This window comes from Homo sapiens, chromosome 3 (assembly GCF_000001405.40).
Source record: "Homo sapiens chromosome 3, GRCh38.p14 Primary Assembly".
In the NCBI taxonomy this organism is placed as follows: Eukaryota; Metazoa; Chordata; class Mammalia; order Primates; family Hominidae; genus Homo; species Homo sapiens.
Window position 1 is genome coordinate 132,430,561 of NC_000003.12, and position 26,513 is coordinate 132,457,073.

Here is a 26,513-nt window from a genome sequence, read left to right on the forward strand (position 1 = left end):
GGCCCTTGGTACAGAGTCAGTTATTCCAATATCTTAAGTTTAGACTAGGAATACAAACCCCATTCTTCAGTATCAGCCATTCACCTTTTCTATCTGCCTTTCTCTTCCCATTGTTCCACTCTTCAGTTATATAGGGGAAAAATATCCGTACACCTATATATCTCTCTCTCTCCCTTTTTTGGTGAGTCTTCAGAGATACTGCCCAGGTTTCTTTTCAGCAATATCATTTACTGCAAAAGATTCAGAAGGCAGGGATAATTCTTACTGGGTTTAATAAATCTTAGTTGGGTGCTTTGGTCATCCCAGGTATGAAATCCAGAAACAGACAAACAAAACACCATACCAACTGTCAGGACTACATTTAGCTGTCCCTATACTCACTAGCAGGAAGATGTTAGTTGACTGTAAGAAATTTCTTCTTTCTGGTAACAATAAAAGCTTCTTTAAACTTGGTGTTACTTGTGGTTCCTTTTGTTATTTTTCAAAGCATGAATTGCTGATGCCTTTCCAGAAGGTTTGACAAAACCCTATTTGGGAGTCCCTGTTAGAGCATCAGGTTTGAAGTAGATATCAGAATTGCCCATGTATTTGCTGAATTTTATTCCTTAACTCAAATACTTATTTTTGAGCACCTGTTTTGTATCAGGCACTCTTGTGGCCTCTGTAGAAACAATAGTGAGCTGAACAGACAAAACTACCTCTCTCTGGATATTCCAGTAGAATTAGGTGAATAATAAATTGCACATTAGAATGTGGAAAGTGCTATGGGGGAAAAACAAGAGTAAGAGGGAATAGGGTAGAATGAGGAGGAGGGTGGTTACAATTTAAGTAGAATGAGGAGAGGGTGGTTACAATTTAAAACAAGATGTTTAGGGTCGGCATCATTGGAAAGGTGACATTTGAACACAGATTTGAAGGAGATAGAGGTATAAGCCATATAAATATCCAGGGGGTGAGCGTTCTATGTATAGTACAAAGGCTCTCGATAATTGGTAATAACACAAAAACAAGCAGGACGAATGAAGACAGCAATTTCAAAATAAGGGTATCTTTTAAAAAATGTTTTTACCACTCAGGTATATACCTAAGAGAAATGAGTATGTATGTTCACACAAAAACTCATATATGCTTGTTCATAGTTGTATTATTCATAATAGCCAAAAGGTAGAAACAACACCCGTGTCCATCAATTGACGAATGGATAAAATAGGTATATCCATATACCAGAATATTACTTGGCAGTATGGACCAGCATAAGCAAACCCACAGTGACAAAGTAGATTAGTGGCTGCTAGGTGCTGAGGCTGAGGTATAATGGGGGGTGACCGCTAACAGAGTTTCTTACTGGGGTGATGCAAGTGTTCCGAAAATAGTGGTGATGGTTGCAGAACTCTAAATACACTAAAAATCACCAAATTGTATACTTTTTAAAAGAGTGAATTTGTGGTATGTGAATTATGTCTCAAGCCGTTATAAAAATTTTTTTTCTGAAAAGTTTTTTCTAATTATGTAAAAAATACTTGCTGACTTAGTATTCACAGTATAAAAAGATATAAAGCAAGCTTAAAGAATTCCAACTATTCAGTTTGTATTAGCACTTTGGTGTATTTTCTACAAATTTTTTTGTTTTTGTTTTGTTTTGTTTTTGTTTTTTTGGGGGGGGACAGAGTCTTGCTCTGTTACCCAGGCTGGAGTGCGGTGGTGCGATCTCGGCTCACTGCAACCTCCACCTCCCGGGTTCAAGAGATTCCCCTGCCTCAGCCTCCCGGGTAGCTGGGATTACAGGCGTCTGCCACCACGCCCGGCTGATTTTTTAGTATTTTTAGTAGAGATGGGGTTTCACCATGTTGGCCAGGCTGGTCTCTAACTCCTGACCTCAGGTGATCCACCTATGTCAGCCTCCCAAAATGCTAGGATTACAGGCATGAGCCACCGCTCCCGGCCTCTACAATATTTTTTAGAGTGCATTTCTAACTATTAAGGCAAGGGAGAAATAGCTAAGTCACAAAAGAAATAACCATATTTAACTTTTATTCAAAATGAAGTAAGTGATACAGTATTTTCAAAACCTATCAGTCTTTCATTAGCAGCCAGTTCCAACAATTTATCCTGTAAAATTAGCTAAGTTTACCTTTTTTAGATGAAATAAATGGATTCTGGATTTTATATACTAAGTTACAGTCAATGAATATTGTACATAATGTGGTTTCATTGCATGTGACTGTTAGGAGGCTGATTCCACGAGTGAGTCATCACACAGATTCAACAATCTTGATCTGTTCTATATCCTGTTCAACCAGAGGAGTGCATTAATCAAACCGCCATAGAAGTTTCTAAACACTTAATCTCAATTTCTTTACTTTCCTTGATGTGGCTTGGAAACAAACCATTTGCAACTATGCTTTGAGTGGCACTGTTCTGGAATATTCATAAAGTGGAATACCATATAGCCTTAAAAATAATTTTCTTATAGAATAATTACATGGGGAAAGGTTAACATTCTTTGCAAACAGGTTAAGCAGTACAAATGGCAATCTTGTTTAAATAAGGATTTTTCTAAATATAAAAAGGAAGGCTAAAATGATTATCTTCAGATACAAGGACGAATGATGATTTGCTTTCTGAACATTTTAGATTTCTTACTGTGGACCTATATCACTTTTATAATGAGGAAATTGTTCTATTTTTAGAAACAGAATCTCACTCTATCACTCAGGCTGGAGTACAGTGGCACAATCATAGCTCAGTGTAGCCTCATACTCCTGGGTTTAAGTGATCCTCCCACCTCAGCCTCAGAATAATACCACACTACTCAATAGTGTTATTCAGCCCTTCTCTTCTGAAAAGTAGCTAGGAGTGTAGGCATATGCTACCATGCCCTGTTAACTTTTATTTTTTGAGAGAGAACGTCTCACTATGTTGTCTAGGCTGGTCTCAAACTCCTGGTCTCAAGCGATCCTCCCACCTCAGCCTCAGAATGGCTGGGGTTATAGGCATGAGCCACTGTGCCAGCGAGAAAATTATTTTTAAATTGCCTTATTTATAGTAGGTCCCCTTTGAAGTGGTAGTGTCAGCAAAATGGCCAGCACTTAGTAGCTCACCAAAAAACTTTTGGAACTGGTTTGACTCTTGGAAAATGTGTTTAGGTATCCATTGTGTGCCATGGCATTATTTGGCAATGTCAGATTTAAAGCTTTATTTATTTGACATTTTAAAAATTCTGTACACTGGGGATGTTGATAGAGGTCATTTCTGGTCCTCAAGAAACACAGTCCAGTGTGGGAGAGAGTTGGACAATCACAATATGGTGCTAAAGGTTATGATAAAGAGTTGAATAGACCAGTCCCCGTCTTTAAAAACCTTATGGTCTTGACCGGGCGCTGTGGCTCACGCCTGTAATCCCAGCACTTTGGGAGGCCAAGGCGGGAGGATCATGAGGTCAGGAGATCGAGACCATCCTCGCTACGGTGAAATCCCGTCTCTACTAAAAATACAAAAAATTAGCTGGGCGTGGTGGCAGGCGTCTGTAGTCCCAGCTACTCTGGAGGCTGAGGAAGGAGAATGGCGTGAACGCGGGAGGCGGAGCTTGCAGTGAGCCGAGATCTCGCCACTGCACTCCAGCCTGGGCGACAGTGCGAGACTCCATCTCAAAAAAAAAAAACAAAAAACAAAAAAATTAGCCGGGCGTGGTGGCAGGAACCTGTAGTCCCAGCTACTTGGGAGGCTGACGCAGGAGAATGGCCTGAACCCAGGAGGCGGAGCTTGCAGTGAGCAAAGATCGTGCCACTGCACTCCAGCCTGGGCGACAGAGCGAGACTCATCTCAAAAAAAAAAAAAACAAAACCTTATGGTCTTGTAAAGGATATACGGCAGGCTGTGAAAGTGAGAGAGCGATCTTGCTACCTTTCTTAGGGGAATCTTGGAAAGATTAAAGATATATAACATGTACTAAGTGCCCTCATATTTTTATCTTCCAGGTTTGAGCACAAAATGAACATAATTAGGGAAAATAAGGATCTGGCATGTTTCTACACAACAAAACATTCATGGAGGGGGAAGTAAGTATTCTTGTTGGGTTTTTTTTTCTGTGCTTCTATAAAATATTTTAAACATTACTGTGTTTCATAATCTTGAATAATACTGCACAACTCAGGCTATACAGCCCTTCTCTTCTGAAAAACGTGCATATTATAAATGTAAATGCTACATGTATTTTTTTTTCTTTTGACATTTCCAGTTTTCAGTATCTTTCTTGGGAAGGAGTTTGGTAAGAATTAAAAGTGACAGTTAAAAGGAAAGTAAACCAGTTAATCCACGCTCTTGTATGCTATCAATTAATGATGAGGTTATATAGTAGTAGCAGAGTGTTAACCCTACATCTTTGTTACCCAGTGACTAACCTGTCTGTAGCCAACATTTTCATATCCGTTTGACTGTCGGAGAAAATATGCCATTCTAGTGAAGTCTAACCTTTTTTTAGGCCTGTAATGAAATTTAAAAATTGGGTTTAATATATTTTCTTTGGGAGGGAGTGATGGCATTTTTTAGTAGCTTCCTAGTCAGACCAAAATGTAAGTGCTTCTGTTTCCTGTCTGTAAGATGGTTGGTAATTCCTACCCTTCAGATTTTTGTAAGGATTAAATGAAGTGATATGGCATGTATGAAAGTTTTAAAATTATGCCTCAAATATATTGAGTATTCAGTGAATGGCATCTGTTGACCATTACAAAAGTTTAGTCTCTGGTCCCTTTGATCAGTAATAAGTAAAATGAGTGTGTCACACTTTTACAAATCAGTGACCACATTATTCTGAATCGTGCCACAAGGTAAAATGTGACACATGCACAAAGCCAGTAAGTGTTTCTTCTCTCAACTTTTCATTTTTTAGTCACTGGAGTGGTAACTTCTTAGGATGTGGTATACATCTGAGCTGTCTAGTATTTCTGGTTTGCATTAGCAAACTGCCTATAATTTTGGAAGATTTGAATATTTGATTTTGTTGTCTAATAGCTCAATTGTATGAACTCCTAAATTAGAATAGTTGTTACCCTTTAGAATACTTGTCTCTCATTTTTTTTCCCCCTAGTTAGTTTCAATGAGTGAAGTTAGGGAGAAAAGTGGCATATCCAGGGTAGTATGAGTCATTTTAGTTCTTTGAATCAACCTTAGAAAAGTATATCTTTAAATAATCCTTATTTTTTCCTCAAGTGGTAGATTACTTTGGTCATCATAATATGACTTCCGTTTTTAATATGATTATAACATACTGATACATTCTAAAGAACAAACTTACTGCAATGCTTTTCGATTTGTGAGCTTGTAAGTAACTGTGATCATCAAAATTTTTGGTAATGTTCTTAGAGTAGTGACTAAGACTTAACTATCCTCTTTTTTCCTCGTAATAATTCAGAGTACAACTGTTTGTGTGCTCTTAGCGTAATTCTTTTAGGCCTTGAGACTTGGTTTTGTTTTTATAACAGCTTTAAGGCATAACTTATATACCATAAAATTCACCCTTCTAAAGTATACAATTCAGCGGATTTTAGTGTATTCATAAAGTTGTAAACCATCATCACTGTTTTGAGAACACTTTCATCACCTCGCCTTCCCTGCAAAAAACTTCCTCTAAACACTGCGTTACAAATCAGCAGTTAACTCCCTTTTTCCCCCTCTTTTGGCAGGCGTTAATCTACTTCCTGTCTCTGGATTTGTCTATTTGGAACATCTTATATAAATAGAATGATACAAAATGCTGTATTTTCTGACTGACTTCTTCCATTAAGCATAATGTTTTCAAGGTCGTCTATATTATAGCATGTCAGTACTTCATTTCATTAATGTCATATAATCTGTTGTATGGATATACTACATTTTGTTTATCCATTCATCAACTGACAGACATTTGTGTTGTTCTTACTCTTTTACTATTATGAATAATGCCACTGTGAATGTTTCCATATTTCCAGTTGTTTTGTGTATATACCTAAGAGTGGAATTGGTGGGTTATGTGGTAACTCTGTTTAACTTTTTGATGAACAGCCAAACTGTTTTCCAAAGTAGCTGCAGCATTTTACATTTCCACCTTCAATGTCTGAGTCCCAAATGCTCCATATCCTTATCAACACTTATTGTCTTTTTTATTTTAGCCATCCTAGTGTAGGTACGAAGTAGCTTCTCATTGTAGTTTTGATTTCATTTCCCTAGTGATTCATGATGTTGGGTATCTTTTCTTGTGTTTGTAGGTCATTTGTGTATCTTCTTTGATGAAATAATCTATTGAAATCATTTATTCACTGTAACTAAAAAAATTTTTTTTATTTTACTTTTTTTTTTTTTTCTTTTTGAGACAGAGTCTCACTCTGTTGCCCAGGCTGGAGTGCTGATCTCGGCTCACTGCAACCTCTGCCTCATGGGTTCAAGCAATTCTCCTGCCTCAGTCTCCCGAGTAGCTGGGATTACAGGCACATGCCACCATGCCTAGCTAATTTTTGTATTTTTAGTAGAGACAGGGTTTCACCATGTTGGCCAGGCTGGTCTCAAACTCCTGACCTCAAGTAATCCGCCCGCCTCAGCCTCCCAAAGTACAGGGATTGCAGGTGTGAGCCACTGCGCTCAGCCAAGTCATTTATTCACTTTTAAATTAGGTTGTCTTATTACTGAATTGTGAGAGTTCTTTATATATTCTGAATAAAAGTTCCGTGTATATGATTTGCAAATATTTTCTCCAATTCTTCAGATTTTTTTACTTTCTTGATGGTATTGTTTGGAGCACAAAGCTTTTAATTTGATGAAATCCAATTTATCAATTGTTTCTTTTGCCATTTGTGCTTTTGGTAATCTAAAAAGCCATTACCTAACCCAAGCTAACAAAGATTTACTTCTTTGTTTTCTTCTAAGAGCTGTATAGCTTTAATTGCGTTAATTTTTGTATTTGGTGTGAAGTAGGGTTCTAAATTCATTCCTTTGCATGTGAATATCCAGTTGTGCCAGCATCATTTGTTGAAAAAACTGTTCTTTCCACTTGAATTGTTTCGACACCCTTGTCAAAAATCAGTTTACCATGACTGTTTAGTTTTTTCCTGGACTCATAATTCTGTTCTGTTGATCCTGTATGCCTAACCTTATGCCAGTACCATATTGTCTTGATTATTATAGCTTTGTGCTGTTTTGAAACTTAGAAATACGAGTCTCTGAATTTTATTTTTCAGTATTATTTTGGGTATTCCTGGTCTCTTGCATTTCCATATGAATTTTAGAGTCAGTTGTTAATTTTTTTTTAAAAGACAGCTGCCCGGCCTGACCAGCATGATGAAATCCTGTCTCTACCAAAAAGTACAAAAATTAGTTGGGCATGGCGGCGCTCCCCTTTAGTCCTACCTACTTGGGAAGCTGCAGTGGGAGAATTGCTTGAACCCTGGAGGCGGAGACTGCAGTGAACAGAGATCATGCCACTGTACTCCAGCCTGGGCGACAGAGTAAGACCGTGTCTCAAAAAAAAAAAAAAAAAAGGCAGCTGACAGTTTGGTAGGCATTACATTGAATCTGTAGATCCATTAGTGGAGTATTGCCATCTTAACAGCATTGTCTTCTGATTCATGAACATGTGTTTTCATTTATTTACATCTTTTAAAATTTCTTTCAACAGTGTTCTGTTGATTTCAGTGTATACACCTTGAATCTTAACTTCTCCCTGAAAGAGTTTACATTTTCCAGATGGTGATAGTTATCATTTCATTGGGTTATATACATTATTAAATGGCACTGAGACTTTTTATTATACTTACCTATTTTATATGGCCAATTCTAATCTAGGTTTAAAGTACTCATCAGCAGTGTTAATGTAAAAAATAAATGGCCAACATTAAAATTTTCTGTTGTTTCAGAATAGTTAATTGAACCTTGTCTCTAGAAACATGTCTACGTACAACAAATTTTTTGTGATTTTTGGGATTTAGGGCCTCAGTTTTAAGAGACTCCATGCCTATTTCCGTGTTGCTAACCTAGCCCCAGCATTTCAGAAAGATTTTATTGATTGTGGAAGTAAAGATGTATAAATATTTTTTCTTCTCTTCATATGTCAAAATTAAGATAACCTGTCCAGGTATTCCCCTTGAAGATATTTGTGTGACCCATTTCTGTTACCTTTGTAGTAGTTTTCATTATTACCTCACTTTATAGCTGCTGAATGCCTTTATTTAGGGTCTGTTGATCATCGGTATGGATGCCTTAGCTGGCAAAGTAGCTTCTTCTGCGCTTTTCATTTTTCCAACTTGTATAGACATAATTTAATTATATGTTTATTCTGGGAGGAGCAAGAAAAGGAGAGTAGATTCAGGGGGGAAAAGGCACTTTTCTTTCATGAAGGAGAAAAATTTCTGTTTTGGCCTAAGTAAGCCATTTCAGAGAGGAAGGAAAGTTCAGATGTTTCAGTTAAAGCAGAAGTGCAGATTCACTGTGGAAAAACTTCAGAGTGATATTCAAGGTACAGGTTCTCAATTTTTTCTGGATAAAAATTTATAAGTAAAATCTACCTGTGGATCACCTTAATATTGCATACATTAATTGTAGGAAATGCTGTGAATTTAGAGTATCATTTTGGTATCTAAACAGGATTTTCACCTCAATGCATTAGGATATGTAATGATCAGTCTATGAAATTTAATAACAGAAGCTCACTACATTCATAGTTTCTGTAATAACTGGATACAGGAAATTGAGAGAAGTGCTGAGACAAAGGGAAGCTAGTGAATTTCTAATACCTTTCTTATATGTAGGAATGGAGTTCTACAAGAGAAAAGATATCTTTTTCTTTTGCTGCCTGGCATTTACACACCTCACCCATCCTCATAACCTCCAGGAATACTGAGGGGTTTTTTTTGTTTTTTTTTTTTTCCCCTCGCTCTTGACCCTGCCAGTCTTTAAAACTCAGATGAGCTGTCCTTAATTCTTTTGTGTTTTCTTTGTCTAATTTTTTGTGACTATCATCAGGCAACCTGGGACTTGAACATCTCTTACCTAGAATTGCAAATTGGATCACATCTCCTTTATCGGAATCTTATGTTTTTCACAAAATGTTGTGTTGAAAGCTAGCTCCATCCGAGCTGGAAAAGATACAGACATTGCATCATGGAATTTAAGGCCTTAAAATATTACATTTCATGGGATGCCCTTTTATTTCTTCTAAAGCTCTTACTGAGCTTTTAGGACAGATATTTGCAGAGTATGTCCTATCCATTTCTTCTTTTTCTTTTCTGAGGAGTACAACTTTTTATCTGAATGAGCCCTCCTTGGTGAAACTGATGTTTCAAGTCAAGTTTCCACTACAGAGTATCCTGGCAATACAACCAGATGAACGATCAGTTTGCCCATTAATTTTGTTCTTTGTTTTGAATATGAATACACTAGAGCAGTCATGGGCTGGACGCAGTGGCTCACGACTATAATCCGAGCACTTTGGGAGGCCAAGGCTGGAGGATCACTTGAGGTCAGGAGTTCAAAATCAGCCTGGCCAACATTGTGAAATCCCATCTCTACTAAAAACACAAAAATTATCTGGTGTGGTGGCGCAGGCCTGTAGTTCCAGCTACTCAGGAGGCTGAGATGGGAGAATTGCTTGAACCCAGGAGGCGGAGGTTGCAGTGAGCTGAGATTACGCCGCTACACTCCATCTTGGGCAATGGAGCTAGATTCCATCTCAAAAAAAGCAGTTATGGCTACTTTAAAACATAAATGTACTAATTATAATTTGTTCAGTTATTCTACTGGAGTTTTGGGATTCCCCACTCTCCGTTAGTCAACTAGTGGAATAATAGCAATAGGAATAGCTAACATTTATTGACTGTTATACTCATTAGCCAGGCACATAAGTGCCAAGTACTTTACATGGATTATTTCTTTTCTCACATTGTGAAGTAGATATACAGTCATGTACTACATAACATTTCCATCAATGATGGACTGCATATATGATGATCCCATATGTTTAGATACACAGATATTTACCATTGTGTTACAGCTGCTTACAGTATTAGGTACAGTAACGTTGTACACTAGGAGCAATAAGCTATACCTTGTAGCCTAGGAGTGTAGTAGGCTATACTATCTAGGTTTGTGTAAGTACAAAACTAGTAATTTACATACAGAATTTTGGGAAGAAATCTGTGATAGTCACATAATGATGAAGTCACCTAATGACAGATTCTCAGAATTGATTCCCATTGTTAAGCAACGCATGACTGTATGTATTATCCATATCTTTCAGTCGAGGAAACCAAAGCTTAGAGAAGTTAAGGAAGTTATCAGAGAAAACACAGCTAGTGAGTAGTCCAGGCAATGTGGCTCGAGTTGGTGTGCTTAACCATTAAGCTGTAGTGCCTCCTTTACCAATGCTGACCATTAATCTCCTAAGAAATGTTGTAGGTCAGTTATCCTTAATTTCATTATTAGATGGACTCAAATTTTAGTTCAAGTTACTGGATTCTCAAGCTTTTAATGATAAAAGGAAAAATCCTGGGTTCCATGAGTATCCTAAAGGCTTCAAGAAATTGGTGGCCAAAACTTGTTTTAAAATGGCCAAGGGAACTAGGATATTCAGCCTAGGAAAAAGAATTCGAATGGAAGGTCTGACTGGCAGAAGAATTAGGTATGCTCTGTGTGCAGCTGAAAGACAGAACTTGGGCCAGCAGGTAAAATTTGTGGGGAAGTAGATGTTGGCTTACTTCTAGGGAACAGTTGTCAATATCTACAATACCGGGACATGAATAGAATTGCTTTCAGTTAAGATATGTTAGTTTCCTTGCATCAGCCAGTAGTGAACAATTATAACTAGACAACCTTGCCTACAGTATTATAAAGGTTTATGCTGTGTGTTATGAGATCTAGAGTGTGTAACATAAAAGCTGTCTTCTAACTTTGATTAGCTCTGTTTGGCTTCTTTGAAGCCTGTTGGCGTAGATTCTCCACTGAAGGGATTGAGGATCTTGAACTTTAAAAGTAATACAGGTACACAGAAATTTTCCGACGTCAAGAATTTGAGAACCATTATTTTATAGTAAACGTAAACTTTCTCAGTTTACAAAAATGTTGAATTTTCTCTATTATAATACTGAATTACATGGATTTTCTGTGCAGAAGAATATAATAGATGTTATGATGGCGACCAGTATTTTTGTAGTATCTCTGTTGACACTATTTTACATGCCTGATTGATAGAAGCTAGTTAAATATTCGAGTCAGAAATTAACTTTGAGACAGTGACAAGAATCTTAGCTCTTATTACTTTGAAGTTTATTTCAGATGTTTGAATTAGATAACTAGTAAAATGTTGGGAGGAAACTGAGTCTTTAAAGGACTCCTATTCACTGTCATATTATTGAACCCAGCACAGTGTCAGATACTCATTTAATCCATTATAGTACCTAATAGAGTATCTGACCTAACACATTGGTTTTTTTTTTTATTTTGCCTAAACATGTAAAAAAATCTTGTTATAAAATACCTTATGTAAAAAAAAATCATGCTATAAAATACCATATGTAAAAAAAAATCATGCTATAAAATGCCATATGTTAAAAAAAAAAAAAACATGTTTTAAAAAATTGTTGGTTTTTTTGTGTGTGTGTCTTTTTCAACATGGGGTCTGCCATCTTGCCCAGGCTGGTCTTGGGGCTCAAGTGATCCTCCCGCCTCGGCCTCTCGATGTGCTGAGATTACAGGCGTGAGCCACTGCACCCGGCCACAAAAATTGTTTAAAAGAGGAAAGCAGTATTCATAAGAACTAGAAAACTTAAGAATGCTGTAACATTTTTATTTTCAGGAATTAAAATAATTTAGAAGTGTTTTGATGTAAATTAATATGTTTAATCTGTCTGTTAAAAAATATAAGCATCACCTTATCAAATCCAAAACTTGATTACATCCCCAGCTTTTGCCTCAGTGGTTTTCCTGTTCAGATGATCTTATCTCCACCAATACTATCATCAGCACAACATTTTTTTTTCTTTTTCTTTGTCACCAATTGCAGGGGAGTAAAATGCCCCACAGATAAAGCAGTCGCCTCAAACACTTGTATTTCTTTAAGCAGCATTTGTTTCCTGATTCTAAATAACATTATACCTAATGGTAACATAAGTTATGTTTCTTAATAAGCTGTTGTATTACAATAAGCTTGTGAGTTGTGATAACTTAAGAAATGCCTACTTCTTGTAGGCATTTAATGATGTAAGTTTAGTGCCTGAATAAAAAGAAAACAGGTGCAGTAGGTAAAGTCAATATGAATATTAATTTTTCAGTTAGGGGGCAAAGGTCTTTTTTCTGATGTTATACTATGAATTTAAAAATTGGTGTAAAATTACTTGCTGTCTGACATTCTGCTTTAAAGGCAAGAGCAGGCTAATAGGTCATAGATTTGTATGTTGACATATTTTTGGATAGATTGTTTTATCTAGCTATTAAGCATTTATTGGGGTATCTACTGTAGTCAATGCTGGGTACTGTGGTAGGAGTTAGCCTCAAAGAAGAAGACTTGTGCCTCCCTGAATCCGTGGAGTCTTTGTCTCTTCTTTGACTTGGGACACTGTTGACTTAGTAAAAGATAAAAATCTTTTTTTTATTTTTTTTGAGACGGAGTCTCATCTAGGCTGGAATACAGTGGTATGATCTTGGCTCACTGCAGCCTCTGCCTCCTGGGTTCAAGCAATTCTCCTGCCTCAGCCTCCTGAGTAGCCGGGATTACAGGCACCCACCATCATGCCTGGCTAATTTTTGTATTTTTAGTAGAGATGGGTTTTTGCCATGTTGGCCAGGCTGGTCTCAAATTCCTGACCTCAAGTGATCCTCCTGCCTCGGCCTCCCAAAGTGCTGGGATTACAGGTGTGAGTCATTGTGCTTTGCTGGTAAAAATCTTTTAGCTGTAAATGTTGTGACTAATATTCTATACATGCGAGACATTTTAGATATTTTCATCTCTAAATCTGTTATCTAAGGGGGCTTTTTAGAAAATCATTGAAAGTTTAGCTTTGTTATCCAGGGAGGCTTTTTTGGTAATCTTTGGAAGTTCAAGCTTGCTTAAAAAGATGTCTTAAATGACATAGAAATATTTGCCCCATCCTTAAGCGGAAGTTCAACAGCCACTCTAAAAAGAGGAGCGGCATGGGGAGTACTTAAGGAAGGGAGTGCGGAGGGGAAGGGAGTTCTCTTAGGAATTTTCTTTTTTTAATAGCTTTCTTAGGATGGCTTAAAGATAGCTCCGTGTTTACTAGTTATGACAGTACTCTGCTGGGTCTAGCATGCATACAACTCCAGGATCCTTTTGCTGAGGGATCCAGAATGTGATCTCTCCAGTATGGTAGCCGCTAACTACATGTGGCTATTTATTTAACTTTAAATAAAATGTAAAATTCAGTTGCCTTAGCCACATTTCAAGTGCTCAATAGGTACACTTTGCTCATTGCTACCTTATTGCAGGGGCCCCCAAGCCCAGGTTTTTGGCCTCTTAAGAACTGGGCCCCACAGCAGGAGGTAGGCGGTGGGCAAGCGAGCCAGCATTACCGCCTGAGCTCCATCCACCTCCTGCACATGAGAGGGATCTAGGTTGTGTGCTCCTTATGAGAATCTAACTCATGCCTGACGATCTGAGGTGGAACAGTTTTATCCTGAAACCATCCCCCTGCCCTGTCCATGGAAAAATTGTCTTCCACAAAGCCAGTCCCTGGTGCTAAAAAGGTTGGGGACTAGTTCCTTATTGGACAGTGGAAATTTTGCCATGTCAGAAAGTCTTTCTTATTGGACAATGTAGGTCTAAAATATTGTCATCTCAAAGTTCTTTTGACAGTATGATCTAGATGACAGAATTATATGAGAAAGATATTAGAAGAGGCTTAGGTGTGGTGGTGAAGATTGGTGTAGGATTGAAAAGGATATTTTCTTAGCCAGTCTTCTAAGACTGTACATGGCACCAGCAGTTACATTTGGAACATTTCAGGCATTCTTTCACTTTTTGCTCACAGAATAAAATAAACAAATTCTGTAGTTTTATTTCAGGATTGTAAGGAGTTTCATGTTTGACTTTCAGGGTGATTTTGAAAAATAGTTTGTGAATTCACATCTCTTATCACACATTTGATTTCACTGTGCAGCTTTTAAGTCAAAGACTGAGCAAAATCTTATTTCTTTGTTTTAGTTCCTATTAATTGATTAAGCCTTTGAAGTTTTGAAACTTTTAAGCTCTTTAGATAGCTTGTTTACTTCACCAGTCCCCTAACCCTCACTCCACTTTAAAAAGAAGCAAATGACTGCTTTTTTGTTAGAGGGAAGTGCTATAATTCTTTAGTTTCTCACTCCACTTTAGACATGTAGAGTTAGGAAAAAAAACACAATGTAGCAATACTTTTGTATATGGATATGTGGTAAAGATTAATAAAATCTTATCATTTCCTTTTTACCTAAATGGAAATACTTTCTCATTTTTATAATATACTGATTTTAAAAAATAGACAAGAGAAAAATGAAAATGTGAAAGATCTCTCTTGATCTTAATGGGAATACTTTTATTGTATTACCTTTGAGTCTGATCATGGCTGTTTGTTTAAGTTATTAATGCCTTTTTAGCATACTAATAGTTCAAAGGAAGAAAACATGATTCTCTCCGTAGATGTCAAAAAGACATTTGATTTAACTTAAGCATTTTTGATAATTAAAAAAATCTCGTATTAAAATACAACTAGATATTTCAATAAATATAACAAATTATGTTAATAGATTTTTCTAATATTGAAGTGTTTACCTAATTGGTCACGGTGTATTACTATTTTAAAATGCGACTTGATTGTTACTGCTAATATTAGCTTTGAAAATAGATTGGTGGGTTTTTTTCTTATTGTATTGTCTTTTCAGATTTTAGTAGTATTAAAAAAATTGAGAAGCTGTTTTTACTCAGTTTTCGGCAACAATTTAAGGAGCATGGGAGTTACTTGGTCCTCAGGTTTCTTCTGTCTTGAAATCATTTGAGCCTGGTGCTTTTGGAGGATGTAATTCTTTGCAGCTTTCTTAAATTCTTCAATATAAGGGTTGATTTATTCTTATATTGAAGGGTTGATTTTCAAATTTGTCAGCATAGAGTTATATGCAGCATTTTAAAAAACTTTTGGTTGTGTGAAGTCTTTGTTTTCCTTAATTTTGTTTTATATATACTAATGTTTTATCCATTTTAATATTTTATTTCCAAAGAACTAATTATTTTGCTTTAAATAAGTTTTTCTAATTCAATTTCCTTTTATGATTATGAATTCCTTTCTCTTTTGAAGGATTACTGATACCCAAATGTTTTTTCTCCTTCAAATATGTTACTTGAAAGGAAATGAAGTGAGAAGTGAAAACTGCTTGTTTGTGGTGTAGGCTTCCTACTTCTATAAAATTGCAACACTGAGATGTAATAGGTAGTTGCTTAAGTAGAAACTATTAAGATTCCAGGATATGGCTGTGACTGACCAGTTGCCCCAGGCCATAGCTTTTCCTTCCTTTCCATATGGCTTTGTTGTAAGGGTATTTTGAAAGCATTGGTATGCAGTGTTTTTTTTTTTTAATAAAACTTTCCCATTTAGGATCTTTCAGCATCCTCAGCTGATGCTTTGCCAACTTAATTTATACTAACATCACACAAGATTGCTTGCATATAAATCATACTTTTCTACTTAGATATCTTAATAGTTCACAGTAAAATGAGTGGGTGGGTTTTAATAAAAATAACATTTTAGAATGTTTAAAAAGGTGAGAATATATAACTAAGCTATATTTAGTCACCATTAATCAACTAACACATTTCTATGTATTGAACTGTTTGTTTTGTGTTATATATATTTTCTTATAAAATATCTTTTTGTTTAAAACTAAATTTAAGCACTTGTTTTCCTTTGTAGGTATAAGCGTGTCTTTTCAGTTGGAACTCATGCGATTACTACATATAATCCCAATACCTTAGAAGTAACAAATCAGGTAATCCTGTTAGAAGCTGTTAGGTGTTTGTATGAACTCCCTTTGAATTTTAAAAGCCAGGCTGTGACCATTACCCTCCCTTAAATCAGTACTTGAAGATAGAAATGTCAAATCAGAAAGAGATTGATGTGCTTACATAATACTCTGATTTGGGGACCAAAAATAAATAATAAATAAACAGGAGGGGGAGAATATGCTTATTTCTAGGGCTCTCAAGGGTATAACTTGATGTTACTATTAGTTGTGGCCACCTCCTTTATGTAAAATTAGTAATTTAGTTCTCTATAATTTATAAAGGCTTATACTTTTTACTGTAACAAAAGCATATATAAGTCATGAGTCCAGTTAGTGTAAAATACTCGTCATGGGAGTAGGATTATGGGTTTATAAAGGCAAGAGTAACCTGAACATTTATAAGTAAACATATTCAAAGATATTCTGGCCTATTTTAATTCCAAATTAGGCATGTTTCACAAACTTTTTAACAAATTTTTAAGTAGTCATAAAATTTCACTTCCCAGTTCTTATCACTTTTTAATTTTAATTTCTTTGGATTAATGTCATCATTAAAATAGGAATACATATTGGATTTTTCTGACTAAAAACCTTTAAAAGAATTTTTTACAGAATTACTGTAAGACACAATTTCTAGACTCTATTTTATAAAATTTTGCTGATTTAATCAGTGATTATGAAATTAAAGTGACAAAAATAAGCATTACATTTTACTGTATTATAGTAGCACCAGTCAAAATTTTTTTTTTTTTAAGTGGCCTTATGGAGACATTTGCAGCATCAGCCCTGTTGGAAAAGGACAAGGAACGGAGTTCAACCTCACATTTCGTAAAGGCAGTGGAAAAAAGTCAGAAACTTTAAAATTTTCTACAGAGCACAGAACAGAACTTCTTACAGAAGCATTGGTAAGAAGATTCCATGTTCATAAATAAAATTTCTTTCTTCTCTTTTTAAAATGAAGTAGTTACATAGAAGTAGAGAAATTAATGTTCTCTGCCCCTGTACCCACTATGATTATTTTTTTCTTACTGACCTTTAACTTGACCCTGTGAAACGTTCACTTTTCTCTAACAGGCTGGAAAATCTTTTATATTTGCAAGTTTATTAGTTTTTTTTAATTGCATATGCAGGAGAAAGCATTGTATGTTTATCTTGTTCTTCAATAAGGTTTCATACTCTTTTTATTGAATATTCTTAAACTATAACTTGAATAACAGTTTTTAGTGTCCAGGTTACCAAGTCAGGATTTTACTTGCTTTGAGTAGAAGGGAGTGAGCCAAGTTTTCCTTACCAGTCTGTTGTCATAAACTGTGGTTATGTTTTCTCTTTCAGAGATTTAGAACTGATTTTTCAGAGGGAAAAATCACAGGAAGGGTAAATATTTAACATTTATTATGTATTTTTATTTGTTCAAATGTTGCCCTTTATTGTAGAAATCATTTCATAATCTGTGTGTTCCATTTGTAGCAAAGCTAAAGGGAAAAGAAACAAAATTGTAATGTCTCCTGATATCATGTTATGTAGTTTAACAGGAAACTCAAATATGAACAGTTAGATTTAAGAATGTTGATACTGGTAGATGGGGGGAAAAAAAGGCAAAAAAACCTTTGGAGCATTAAAAGCAACACTATAAGCATTCAGGTAGTCCTTATGCAGTATCCCAAACAGTAATACCAGAGAACGTCATACTGCTGATAGTGCATGTTGGAACATTCATTCATTGTTTGGTGTAGGAGTTTCTTATTTCAGAAATATTCAAGTTTTAAGATTTGAGCATACTGAAACTGTCTTCTTACATGTTCTTGGACTGGATCTGGCCTGTACTGAAGCTTGGCATGGTGCACTGACAGCTTTGGAGGAAGCTGTGGTGGCATATCAGAGTCGTCTTAACTTTCCCAGGCCTTTTCCAGTAATGTAACAGCAGCATTTAAACTAAATCAGAGACTTCTGGGAAAGAGGAACAGGAGTGTAACCTTTTTTCACTCTCTTGAGATATTAAATTTCTTCCCATTAGCAAGTATTACTTTTATAATGGAGAAAAATAATGCTTAAATTTATAGCACTGTTCAGAACCCTAGCTTCTGGCAAAAGGCAGGAACTGAATTCTGATATGCGGGCAGCACCATTCTCCTGTCTGTCTTAAGCCCTCATTCATAGAATATTTCTATGAATATTCTGCTACTTTTTTTAGCATCCCAGAAACCTCACTAATTTCAACTCTAGCAATTGGCTGGTTGCCCAGCAGCGTTTAAAAATAGTTTAATGGCAACTGGCGAGCTGCTTATTTCTTGTTCCTGATGAGCCATGGTCAAATTTTTATAAATCATAACTTGGTGTGCTTATTTTAATTATTCTATATTGTCAGGTGACGTACCTCATCTGTTTGGGAAACAACTGCTTTCAAAAGCATACTTAGAATTTTTATATAAGCTGTCTTTTGTACCAGTTAACTTCAGCCATTTAATACTTTTCAAAATCTTGTGGTAGAAACAGTACCTCTAGAAGATTGCCCAAAGGATAGTTTACCTGATTTTACATCAGGAGTAAGGGGCTCAAAGTGACACCTGTATTGTCCTAATAACAAGTTTAGATTCCACCCCAAATACTGTGCTGGCTAAACGGCACTCTTCTTGCCTAAGTTGAATTTGGCTCTAAGACCTCCATTTGCCCTAGATATACTTCTAAATCAGGGTTTCTCAAAAGTCCTTCTTGGTTGGCCCCTGCAATCCTGAGGGATAATGATGCTTCCATCAGCACATCTCATTAATGGCAGTTGTTTATGAGCTGGGAGGAATGGAGAATATCCTATATAGTGGTCTTGAGGCATGTAAACAAGTATAGTTTGGAAAGCTCCACAATTTTTGTGCCCTGCCTTCTCCCATTCCTGCAGCAGAGGTGTGGCATTGACTGATCTTTTGGTTCAGAATCAAGGTTCTGTATTCTTGGATTAGTGCAGGCCCCTTTGTCTGTCTGCATAATTACTTTTATGGAACTATGTGTGTGTTCGATGCATAGATCAGTAATGTTGAGGAGACTTGATGTCCTGTGAAAGTCATTGCTGACTTCAGTGTTGGGATATTAGTGGAGGTGTTCATTACTTAGTGCTTCACTCTCTTTTCTGAAAACCTAGAAGATAATTTCTTATTTCAGTATCAGAAATAGTTGTACTCCAGAGCAACCAATTGATTTTTACATTAAAAATTGTAATTGACCATGTATCCCACTTTATATTGATGGGTAGAAAACTGCGGTGTTTGGGTGGGGGAGAGGATACTCATTTCACATCTGAAACTTTGTTATCCTTATTTTCTCTTTGCTTCAGTTTTCTATTATTTTAAATTTATTTTCTTCTTCCGTATCGCATCATTTTGCTTAGCAGCCTTGATTAAACCTTTTTTCTTTTTAAAGACTGAAACTGGATAGTAAATGGATATTGACTATTCTAATAATTTCTGACACTCAGCTACTTTAATTTGTGAAGGAATATTATCTAAATGGAATTTTACTTGCTAATATGATCAAACATCTTGAAGATAACTTTCCAGTTGTGTGATTAGAAAAGCCTAAGGTCAAATACAGGCCTCAGCTTTTTTTTTTTGTATGTGGAAATAAAATATACATTAATATACTGAGGCGGTTCAGGTTGTTTAAATTGAATATTACAACTTCCCTGAAATGTGACTTAGCTCTTTTCATTATTGAACTTGGATTAAAAGAATCCATCAAAGAAAGTAGATCTTTTTTCCAGTAAAACTCTTTCAGAATACATTTCTATGTAGGATTTCCTCTTTTTTCTTTTTATAAATTTACATAGAGTGGCTTAAAATAGCTTCATAAAATATTGTAACCCAAACCCTTTGCTAATTAAAAAAGAATGTACTGTCTTCAGTTAGTGTGAACATTCTTAAACACCTCCAAATAGTTAAAATTAATCATAGTTTTAACAATTTGGATAGTAGCTCTAAATATTTACGATGACAGTTAGATTTTTGGTCGTTTCAATAGTGACTGTGATACATTAAATTTTATTTTATATGATTTTATTTTATGAACCTAAAAGTAATACTGATTCTGTCTTTAGAGATACAACTGCTATAAGCATCACTGGAGTGACTCAAGAAAACCTGTAATTTTGGAAGTAACTCCAGGAGGCTTTGACCAAATTAATCCTGCAACCAACAGAGTACTCTGTTCCTATGACTATAGAAATATTGAAGGATTTGTAGATCTCTCAGATTATCAAGGAGGATTTTGTATACTTTATGGAGGATTTAGTAGATTGGTAAGTACTATTTTAAAAAAAAAAAACACTTTAAAAGGGTCATGACCATTTGAAGGAAAGCAAAGCTTTTTATACTTCATTTTGAAATTTCACGTGAGTCCTCTGGAAGGAAGTATAATAGTCCAGGTTTTGGTATCAAAGATACCTGAGCTTGAATCCCAGTTTGCTGCTTTCCAAAATGAGGAGAGTGAGGATCTGGTGAGATAATTTATGTAAAATGCTTTACACACAATGGATGGCTTAGTACGGTAAACAGTGACTACAGTTGTTATTTTCATTGGTATTACTGTCTTACCAAAAAGTTTCTAAGCTTTCTTTGAAAAAGTAATTTAAGCCTGGCATGGCAGCTCACACCTATAATCCCAGCACTTAGGGAGGCAGAGTTAGGAGGATAGCTTGAGCCCAGGAGTTTGAGACCTGCCTGGCAACATAGTGAGACCTTGTTCTGCACAAAAAGGAAAAAAAAATGAAAAAAGTAATTTAAAATCACTTACTTTTTGAGAATCTTTCATCCTTTGCCTGGCTGTTTATAATCTGAAATCTGAGTATGCATTGAAACTTCAATCTGGAATTCATTGCGTGTTTTTGTTCTGAAATTCAGAATTATATATAAGTAAATTATGGGGTATAACAGAAGCTACTTAAGGTGCTGAGAACCCTGTTAATCAGTAATAGAAGCTGAAGTATATATAACTATTTTTTTTTAAGATACATCCTGCCTTTCTGTCTCAAAGATGTGCGGTAGAGAAAGTCTCCAAATGGAGAGACTCATTTGAACTTAATTGCAAAATTCCTTTCTCTTGAAAATTTTAATTCTTGTAGCTACCTTAGTGTTCCGGGAATGCTCCTTCAATTTTTAGTGTTTTGTAGATAAAATATCGTTCTGTTGGTAGCAGAGCCAAAGCAAGCGTTGAACTTTTACATATATAAGATAGTAGATGTTAGCAAAAGGGAAATAAACAATGATGGGGGCTAGATAATCTGATGTAGAAATATAGTTGGTTCTTCAGAGTTACAGGCCTTTTTCCATCTTAGATTTTACTCTTTCCCCACTTGATGGGTACCATCCTAGTTTCCCTCATCTAGGAACATACAGGTAAACCTCTGTGTGTTACCTCTGAGGCTTGACCCAAAAGATGAAGGCCCTTCTCCCAGCCCAAAGCCTGCTGTCTTAGTGCTATCCATAGACTGTCTCTTCCCTGGTCAGTGGTAATTTGGAATGTTTAACATCTTGTTGGTAAAGATACCTGATTACAAGAATATGGCCTGTCAGGCCTTAATAGGATAACTGTATCACAGTAATTCAACCAAGCCATAAAATGGAATAATAAGGTAAACGTTAAGGATGAAAATTGTTTCATACTCTTCTTATTGCCAACATTTTGTATTACTTGGGGGCAGCAAGAAGTTTTCATTTGAATTAATCCACTTTCTCACTGTAAGACACTAGCTAAAATGAATCAATTCACTATAAATATGGTACTATACCAGATTTATTCAACAAACCTTTATCTAATACCTTTTGCATCTATGGTGACTATAAAAAGCTGCTAGGAATAAAACCAGGTTCTTAAACACGATGTGATCCAGTGTTTCTCAGCAGGGGAGCTGTTGACATTCTGAGGAGGACAATTCTTTCTTGTGTGGGACACTCCTACTCTGCCCTTTACAGGACATTGAGCATTTCTGGCCTCTAGACACCAAATGCAAGTTCAGGTTGAGCATACCAAATCTGGAAGTTCAAAATGTTCCAAAATCGGAAACTTTTTGAGTGCCAACATGATGCTTAAAGGAAATGCTTGTTGGGGCATTTCAGATTTGGGATTTTCAGATTTGGGATGCTCAACTGGTAAGTGTAATGAAAATATTCCAAATGCTGAAAAACTCTGAAGTCTGAAATAGTTCTGATCCCAAGCATTTCAAATAACAGATACTCATCCTGTAGCCTGTTCCCTTACCTTTGTAAATAGAGCCCAGAAAGTTGGTTTGTAACATCGGTAGGCCAATGACTTGTAAACATTTAAACATTCTTCAGCATCATCTTGCAAAGAAGCCTACTGTGTAAAACAGATTAAATCAGAGCTGCGTTGTTTGAAACTGGGAATCCTGCCCACACAGTACCCATCACCCCCAGTGGCTTGGCTGGGGTTCCTTGGAGGCCCTTCTTGGAAGACCCAGCATGCTGTTTTGCACAAGGTGATGAGAACCAGAACCTGAGAAATTTTGAGATAATTGCCGTTCAGTGAGTTAGTTGCAAAGCTCTGTATCCCAGACTTTATTATTTTAATTTAGTAATAGTCTTTTCATTGAAACAACTGCTTATTTGCCTCTAATACCTACCTCTTTTTTCTCTAGAATTGCTACTTTAATACCTTTCCTATGAGTTGATTAGCTACAGACACATTTCAGTTGTTTCAACTCTGACTTTTTAAATTTCTAAATTTGTGCAGCATTTATTTGCGTCAGAGCAAAGAGAAGAGATTATTAAAAGTGCAATAGACCATGCTGGTAACTACATAGGTATTTCATTGCGGATCAGGAAAGAGCCTTTAGAATTCGAGCAATATTTGAATCTTCGCTTTGGAAAATACAGCACTGATGAATCCATCACATCTTTAGCAGAGTTTGTAGTCCAAAAAATATCACCTAGACATTCGGTAAGACCCATATGTTAAAAATGAAAATTTGTTCACCTGATTTTGACGTTTTAAAAAATAACTTCTTAATATGTCTCAATTTTATTTTTTGAAGGAGCCTGTTAAAAGAGTTCTAGCACTTACAGAAACATGTTTAGTAGAACGTGATCCGGCAACCTATAATATTGCAACATTGAAGCCTTTAGGAGAAGTAAGTTTCAGCATTGTTAGCTTAAATGAGATTTCTTTCTATTGATAAATTAGGATAATTTTCTTTCTATTTTAATGTTTACTCATGGCTAAAGAATATGGAATGGACAGAATCTGTATTTAACTCTTAACATATTTATATTAATTGATCATAGAACAATGATTATTACAAAAGTTATTTTCCAAGTATATAAAGAATGGAACTTATTACTCAACTGAAAATTTGAGATTTTAAAGTTTTAAACTCTTATATTGTAAACAAGTCACATCTTAAAATACTGACTTTTGTAAGCTAAGTGATGCATTTTATAATGAAATACTATAAAACTATAAACTTTTTTTTGTTGAAGCTATTTTTTGTTTTTTCATTAGGTATTTGCGTTGGTCTGTGACTCAGAAAATCCACAACTTTTTACCATTGAATTTATAAAAGGGCAAGTACGGAAATATTCTTCAACAGAGAGGTATTTTTTTTTTTTTAAGTTTTTGAAATCCTAGTTGTGCAAGGCAAAGTGCTTGGTCAACAAGGAAAACCAAAGATATGTAGTCTAGAAATTTAAAATCATTTAATTTGGGAAAAGACATTTTCTTGCATATTTAAAATGACCCTCCCATTTTCAATTTTTTTTTTTTTTTTTTTTTTTTTGAGACAGAGTCTCACTGTGTCACTCAGGCTGGAGTGCTATGGCGTGATCTTGGCTCACTGCAACCTCCATCTCCCGGGTTCAAGCAATTCTCCTGCCGCAGCCTCACAAGTAGCTGGGATTACAGGTGTGCGCCACCACGCCCAGCTAATTTTTTTCTTTTTTTCTTTTTTTGTATTTTTAGTAGAGATGGGGTTTCGCCGTCTTGGCCAGGCTGGTCTCGAACTCCTGACCTCAAGTGATCCGCCTGCCTTGACCTCCCAAAGTGCTGGGATTATAGGCATGAGCCACCACACCTGGCCTATAACTAGTGTTTTTATAGTATTTCCAGTAGTATAGTATGACCAATAGCTGTTTCTTGCCTTACAAAGCTTTCAGTCTAAGGTCAACAAGACTGAAATGTTAAGCAATGGTTATGTTTTTTTCCTGTCCTGAATTCAATGGAAAAGAACACCTTAAAAAAAAAAAGTATGGATGTTCTAATCAGAGGAAGGATCTTAACACTCTGTTTGTGAGATGCTTTATGTACGTTATCTTGCTTTGTCCTGACAGTAGCCGTAGGAAGAAGGTCCTCTTATTCCCAATAACACTTACATGCAGAAAGTAAAGCAACTTCTTTGTGACTTGGGGTTAAGAAAAGATTTCCCAGATGTAATACCAAAAACAATCTAGAAAAGAAGAAAAAAAGGTTGTTAGTTAGACTTCATTAAAATTTAGAACTTTGACACCATTTAGAAAAAGAAAAGACAGATCGCAGGGAGAAAATCTTTGCAAAGCATATAGCTAATAAAGGTTTTCTATCCAGAATATATACAGAACTCTTACAACTCAATACTGAAAAAAACCAAGCGACCCAATAGTAAATGGGCAAAAGATTGAAATAGACACCTCACTGGAAAAATATGAATGTTAATACATGAAAAGATCATGAATCTTTAGGAAATGAAAATGCAAACTACTACATATTCACTAACATGACTAACATCAAAAAGACTGCCAGTGGCAGGTGTTGGCGAGGATATGGAGAAAAGAACTCTCATACATTGCTGGTAAGAAGGTAAAATGATAAAACCAGTTTGAAAAACAGTTTGATAATTTCTTAAAAGATTAAACACATACTTATATGGTCTAGCAGTTCCACTTTTAGGTATCTATCCAAGAGAGATGAAAAGATGCCCACAGAGAGACTTGCACATGAATGTTCGTAATATCATTACTCATAGCCAAAAACAGAAGCAATCCATATCTAGATCAGCCAGTGAATAAACAGACAAAATGTTGCCTGTTCATACAATGGAATACTACTCAGCAATAAAAAAGGACTGACCTAATACATGCAACAACTTGGATGAATCTCAAAAGCCTATGTATGATAAGTAAAATAAGCAAGACACCTAAGACTACATATTCTATAATTCTGTTTTTATGAAGTTTCTTTAAAAAGCAAAACTATAGAGATAGATCAGTGGTTTCCTGGGGCTGGGGAGTGTTCTTTTGCAAATGGGCACAAGGAAATTTTTTGGAGTGATGAAAATATATCAGAACTGATGATGATTATACAGTTGTATAAATTTATTAAAAATTATCAAACTGTACGTTTTAATTGGATGACTTGTGATTTGTCAATTAGAACCGAGTAAAGCTGTTAAAAATAATTTTAAAGGGAGAGAAAGAGAAATTAAAATTAGTGTTTAAGTAACTTGTACAAGGTCATGTAGCAGCACGGTGAAGAGCTAGTATTAGAGCTCTTCCTAAAGCCCCACTGTTTGTGTTTCCCATTGTAACTGTAGTGTGTCCCTGAGCAGATTACCTGCTAAAGGGCCTATGCTTCATGCTAGATCAAAATTCCCCTTAATCATCAATGCTAAAACCTTTTTTTACTTTTAATCTTACTTAGAGATTCCTTATTAGCAAGTTTGCTGGATGGAGTAAGAGCCTCTGGTAATAGAGATGTTTGTGTAAAAATGACACCAACCCATAAAGGTCAGCGATGGGGGTTACTCAGCATGCCTGTTGATGAGGAAGTAGAGAGCCTTCACCTCAGGTTCTTAGCTACGCCTCCAAGTAAGTATTGATTTAAATGTAATTACATTTCCACTCATCTACTTAATTTAAGAATTAGGAATTCGTATCTTCTTTTTGAACCTCTTAATCTCTTTACAGATGGCAACTTTGCAGATGCTGTATTCAGGTTCAATGCTAATATTTCATACAGTGGAGTCCTACATGCAGTAACACAAGATGTAAGCTAAGTTTTATCATAATTGTTCATTGTTACTAACTTTTGGTATGGAAACTTTTTTGAAATACTCTTTCTTCACCTAGGGTCTCTTCTCAGAAAACAAAGAAAAACTGATCAATAATGCCATAACAGCATTACTGTCCCAAGAAGGGGATGTCGTTGCTTCAAATGCGGAACTTGAGAGTCAGTTCCAGGCTGTGAGGAGGCTTGTGGCATCCAAAGCTGGTTTCCTGGCTTTCACTCAGCTTCCAAAGTAAGTTGTCTTCTGAAACTTAACTTCTCTTAGAGAATTTGAACTACTCAAAATGGCAAATAATGAACGATTCACCTCCTTTTCCTTGACTAAACCAGATACCTTTTATAGGGTGATATGGTACTTTATTCATGAGAAATGAAAAAGGAAGGTGAGGGCAGCAGAAGCGGAATATTGGTCCCATACTCACCAGTAATATAACTGACTCTTGAATTTGAATGGGAAATTACATGCCTTTTAG

General features: G+C 35.9%; 1 protein-coding gene across 4 annotated transcripts in view; it reads left to right on the plus strand.

Moving 5' to 3' along the window:
• Positions 1 to 26,513, plus strand: part of DNAJC13 (DnaJ heat shock protein family (Hsp40) member C13) — a 121,531-nt gene that overhangs the window by 13,059 nt on the left and 81,959 nt on the right. For all 4 annotated transcript variants that reach the window (NM_001329126.2, NM_015268.4, XM_047447819.1 and 1 more), the window contains exons 2-12: positions 3,978 to 4,058; positions 15,915 to 15,990; positions 16,761 to 16,910; positions 17,338 to 17,379; positions 20,087 to 20,287; positions 22,738 to 22,944; positions 23,039 to 23,134; positions 23,506 to 23,597; positions 25,675 to 25,841; positions 25,941 to 26,020; positions 26,103 to 26,272. In NM_001329126.2, coding sequence (NP_001316055.1) covers positions 3,991 to 4,058; positions 15,915 to 15,990; positions 16,761 to 16,910; positions 17,338 to 17,379; positions 20,087 to 20,287; positions 22,738 to 22,944; positions 23,039 to 23,134; positions 23,506 to 23,597; positions 25,675 to 25,841; positions 25,941 to 26,020; positions 26,103 to 26,272 — 1,349 coding nt within the window. In that variant the 5' untranslated portion in view covers positions 3,978 to 3,990. The remainder of the gene's footprint in view (positions 1 to 3,977; positions 4,059 to 15,914; positions 15,991 to 16,760; positions 16,911 to 17,337; positions 17,380 to 20,086; positions 20,288 to 22,737; positions 22,945 to 23,038; positions 23,135 to 23,505; positions 23,598 to 25,674; positions 25,842 to 25,940; positions 26,021 to 26,102; positions 26,273 to 26,513) is intronic.